Raw genomic sequence first — 5619 nt, 5'->3', positions numbered from 1 at the left:
GCCCTCTCTTCATTCCTGCTAGCTAACTACTCAGGGACCTCAAAGAAAAGGTTTTTGCTATTCACCTTTACAATCCTGGTGGAGAAACCAAGAGGTTGTTTTTTACCTCCCAGGGCAGCTATTTTGAGTGCCAAGGCATTGTAAAACCATTAGATCATAGATGTTCATGATTGTGGACTTATGGTAGGGGAGAAGAGGGGACGCTGGAATTCAAAGAAAGTATTATTCATTTCATTAAAAATGAGAAACACGCTGCTTGGAGAGTGCTATTGAGTAACAGGATCTGGTGGGAAGAGCACGGAATGTAGAGTCCAAACACTGGAATTTGGTACCTGAGCTCTGAGCTGTGCCATGCTCTAGCTATGCAGCTTAGGCAATAATGGTTATAAATATAATAAAAGGTATATATTATTAAGTGGTTTCTGTTTACTAGGAACTTTGTATCTGTCATTTGAATCCTCACTATACCACCAAGTGATAGTTATTATTTTCCCTATTTTATAGGTAAGGAAATAAATAGATGCAGGGAGATTCAATAACGTTGCATAGGTCACAATACCAGTGAATTGGCAGAGCCAAGAGTCTATTCAAGGCGAAAGTTCAGGCTCTTTCTACTAGACCATGATGCCAACAAGGCATCGCTGAGCACTGTGTTTTAAGTACCTACTATAAGCTGGTCAACCTAAGTGCTTAGCATATCTTACTTCATTTGATTTATAGAAAAAAGTGCTGTGAGGACACTGTTATTTTACAGACTTATAAACTGCAAATGAGAAGAAAAGTGACTCGCTTCAATTCATAAATTTAGCACATGGCTGAGATGAGCTTAATTTTTTAAAAAAGTTATTCTCTGAATATGTTCCCTTTTCTTAAGTTACAGTCCCTTTCTTGAACCCACAGTGTGTCATGTGACCTTATAGTTCTCCCAGGGTGGTAGTTTTGGCTGGTATTTTTTCTCCTATTTTAAAGGTAAGAAAAATGACTATCAAGGGCATCACAACTGGTTTTCTCCTGTCCACTGATTGTATCTCTTCTGTCCCTTGGCTCTGTTTCTCAAAGTTGGCGCTCCCCAGGGCCTTATCCCTAATCTTCTCTATTTCAACTTTGTCTTTGGTATAGCCCTAAAGGAATTAATCTAGTCCTATGTTTCTGAATGCATTGATTCACCCAAATTTAAATCTCGACTTTTATGACTTCCAAATCTCTACATTGACAACTCCGAAATTTAAATCTGTAGCCCTTGGTGTCCCTCTGAATTCCAGGTATCTGTTCAGCATTGCCACTTCAATGTCTGAAAGGTATCTCAAAATCAATAGGATCAAAAATTATTGTTTTCCCAAACATCTATCCAAACCTGAGATTTTCTCACTCTTCTGTGACTTAACAAAAGGCACCATCTCCATCTAATTGCTCAGGGCAAAACCCAGGAGATTAGTTCCTCTTTTACCCTCACCTTCCACATCCAATCCATCCCCAACTTTTGACAGTTAGATTACTGGAGTCGGGCTACTTCTTATCCCCTCCCCATTACATCCTGAATCAAATCCTCATTCTCTCTTACTTTGGCTACAAGAGTCTCCTAATTGATTCCCTGTTATCCTGCTTGTCTACCTATGTAGTTCATTTCATACAGAGACCAGATGACGTTTTTATATTTAATGTCAGATCATATAAATCTTCTGCTTAAAACTTTCCAATAACTTTCCATTGTATTTAGAAAAATATCCAAATACTCTACTAGGACCTAAGACACCCTCACAATCTGTTCCTATCTTGCTTACCTCACCTTTTTCTACTCTTTCTTTTGCTCACATGTTATGACCACATGGCCTTCTTGCTTTTTCTCAAACATGCCAATGTTGTTCCTGCCCCATGACCTTTGAGCTTTTGAAATATTTTCTTCCAGATTTGTGCATGCCTGGCTCCTTATTTTCACTGAGCTCTCAATTGTCCTTTGCTGAACACCTTTGTGAAGTAGGCTTTGTGCCATGCCAGTCCCTTGGGATTTTATCATCTTATTTTGTTATGTTCACAGAACTTACCACTGTTTGAAATTATCTTTTTTGAAAGTATTTATTTTTCTGGTTTATTTTCTGTCTTCTCTGTTTAATGTAATATCTTGAAGGACAGAGACTTCGGCCTTATTCACTGAAGAGCCGTACCTGGTGCATAGTAGGCACACAATTAATATTTACTAATGACCAAATCACTGAATGGATAAGAAACAGGAGGCAGTATAGGGTAGGGTTTTTTGTTTGTTTGTTTGTTTTGTTTTTCTGAGGCGGAGTCTCCCTCCATCACCCAGGCTGGAGTGCAGTGGCGCGATCTCGGCTCACTGCAAGCTCCGCCTTCCAGATTCAGGCCATTCTCCTGCCTCAGCCTCCTAAGTAGCTGGGACTACAGGCACCCACCACCACGCCTGGCTATTTTTTTTGTATTTTTAGTAGAGACGGGGTTTCACCATGTTAGCCAGGATGGTCTCGATCTCCTGACCTCGTGATCCACCTGTCTCAACCTCCCAAAGTGCTGGGATTATGGGCGTGAGCCACCGTGCCCGGCCAGGGTAGGGGTTTTGAAGCCAGACTTTGAATCAGAGTGACTTGGTTTTGAGTTCAGGCTTTTCTCACTAGCTATGTCACCTTAGGTAAATCTCTGTTTTAAAATGGAGATATTAAAGTAATTACCTTACGGGGTTGTTTTGAGGATTAATAAAAATGAAGCACTTAGGAAAGTGTCTGGCACATAGCAGTGCTCCAACAGTGCTGGGATTTCTCATTAAAAGCATCTTGGTCCTATGATATAAGACAAGAGGAATAAGGATCCTTATATCCTACATCATACTGAGTGATATTGGGTAGTGATACTGGGATAGTGAGAAAAGCTTAATGAACATTAGATGTAGCAAGGAAAGGGTGTTGGCCCAAAGGTGGCTGATCTTTCATAATGTATTATTTGCATCTGTGCAGAGCTATCACAAAGAACCATACATGCTGTGCAGAGCACAACTTTGGAAGTGTCATTGATTTAGACTATGGTATGAACAGCATCCCTGGAGTTGTACAATGATAGGGACCTATTACATGTTTCCTAAGTTATTTAGTCCAACAGGCATAAAGGAGTTTATTTAATGTCATCTGAAATCTCATGACTCATAGTTGCCTTTGATCGCCAAGGCCTTTGAATTCCATGCCACCTTATCTTTAAAGGTACCAGGATTCCTCCCTACTTCAGTTTTCTATGTCCTGTACGCCACATGCTGAAATCTCAGCAGCTCCGAATTTACCAGTGCTTTAAGAATTATGTAGTGATGTTATTCTATGAATTAAAAGTCAGGACACGTTGTCTGACAATGGAACCGAATATTTGGAACAAGATCTGTCCTGGAATCCTGCATGTGGGATCATTGCAAACTACTGTGAGTGGAAGAAGAGCTGGATGGGTCTTTTATTCTGCTTCCTCAGTGCCCTGCACTACACCTGCCAATTGTAGGTGCTCAATGAATGTGCACCACATGATTGAATGTCTGACTCCAGTCTTCTACTTTGTATGAGCAAGATGGGACTCGCTCCTTCAGAGGCTTTCCTGACATGAGAAACCTAGGTGGAAAAGAAAAACAGCTGCACTGAGTTGGTTACACAGAAAATAAAGCACCATTGTGACATTGGTCCTGGCCTAATTTCAGACACTGACTGTGCTACCCAGCATTAGACAATATGGTCCAGAGGAGTTGCAATTTTCTGCCAGATGTTTTCAGGCCACACATGGAGTCTGAGAGTTGTTGAACTGTAAGTCCCAAATGGCACAATCATGTCTTGACACGTCATCCGAAGGTCACAAATAAGAAGGCTGAGCTCCATGCTGACCATCCTCATACTCTCAGCCCATGTGATTTTGAAAGAACTGCTGACATTGTATGGTCTTGATATTCACCTTCTTAAACTTCAATATCTAAATATTCTCCTATGAAGGGGTCAGCATAAATATCATTGTCCTTAATTACTTCTGTTACTCTTTGATTCCTACTAGACATAGGGCACTTAATATATTACAGATTGTGTGAAACATTGGATTGCTACTCCTAATGAATTTTAAATAAGCTAAAATGGAATTAAAAATACACATATTCCTCCTTTGACTTATGATGATTTTGTCTGTCTTCTTCCTGATATGGTTTCTATCTATAAATGAGAACAAAAAAGATGGGTGGAGGCCTTCATTATCAATGGGAGCTCTTAATTTCCCATCTCTACCTACAAACCCCTTTGCAGGGGTTCCATTGCAGGTAGAATACAGAATTATTCCAGATCCCATTAAAATGATGGGGTCTATTTCTGTAGAGTTTCTCTAGGTGACTTCTATGCATCCTCTTCATTCTATCCTTTCTGACTCAGGGAGAACTTCAGTATCCAAGGGGCTTCTCCTTAAACTAACTGCTCTATATTTAGAAAAAGAACTTCTCCAGGAGAGGTTAATCACACTACTTAAGGCAAATTCACAATAGTTAACATAGGTCATTAGGAATTCATTCAGGTGTGGCTCCTGTAAATTGACTTCTCAATTTACAATGGAAAAGAACACTGCTTAGGTCCAAGCACAAGATCTGTCCAAAAATAATGTTACACATCAGGAATTATTATAGACTGCTGAAAACTGTCAAATCTTAAAAAGAATCCATTTCTGTTTGAAAAACTTGCTAAAAAATGTAGATACTTATGTAGAATAAGCTTGGATATCTATTTTGCTCAAATAGGATCATACTGTTAGATTCCTGTTAGATTATATGTTCCTTGAGGGCAGAAGACAAATCTTTGTCAACTTTACAGCCCCTTGTTAGTGTCTTACAGAATATCTTGCACATAGAAAATGTTTAGTTGGTTTTGAGTGAAACTGGATGTTTGTATTTATATTAAAAGGGAATATACAAAAGGTAAAATTACAAAGAAAAAGCATAGCTCTTTTTTTTAGATGATTAGTAAAGCCATATAGTGTATGGGAAATAATGAGAAACTGAGATGCAAGAGACTTGGGTTCTAATTTGGCTTGGCCATTAACTAGCTATGTGACTTTGGTTGAGAACTTTCACCAACCTTAATTTATTTTAACTTTAAACCGAGGAAGCTGGAGCTTAGTGCCTGTTGGTTCTAAACTGATGATCTGAATGTTTATTTTATTCTAATCCTAATTTGTACTTGTGTTGTACTTTACCTAAATGAAGGTATCAGTTCATTCCTAGCTTTAGACACTAAATTTTATATCAAACAACCAAACTGCCTTCCAAGTTTATCTTACTCCAAGGAGGCTTTTCTGATTACATTAAGCAGTTTTCTTTTGTCTGAATATCTGGTTCTTAGAGTTTTGAAAACTTACTTTCCAGACTTGTAAAAATAGGGCAGAGTAAAGATAAAAATGACTGTCCTTGTTATACCCAGTTGAAGTTTATGGTGTTCTAATTACAGTGGACCTGAACCTTTGGTGAGCTGGAGTAATTAAACTATTCGGTGGGAGCAAATCATTACCCATAGGAGATGAATATGTTTTTCTAGGTTGCTGATTAGAGCACTGAAAGAGGAAATTTACTTAATAGTGCCTGGAAAAGTGAAGGGCATTTTATTTTCAGAT

This window comes from Homo sapiens, chromosome 1 (genome assembly GCF_000001405.40).
Source record: "Homo sapiens chromosome 1, GRCh38.p14 Primary Assembly".
Taxonomy (NCBI): Eukaryota; Metazoa; Chordata; class Mammalia; order Primates; family Hominidae; genus Homo; species Homo sapiens.
Note: the sequence above shows the minus strand (reverse complement) of the source record.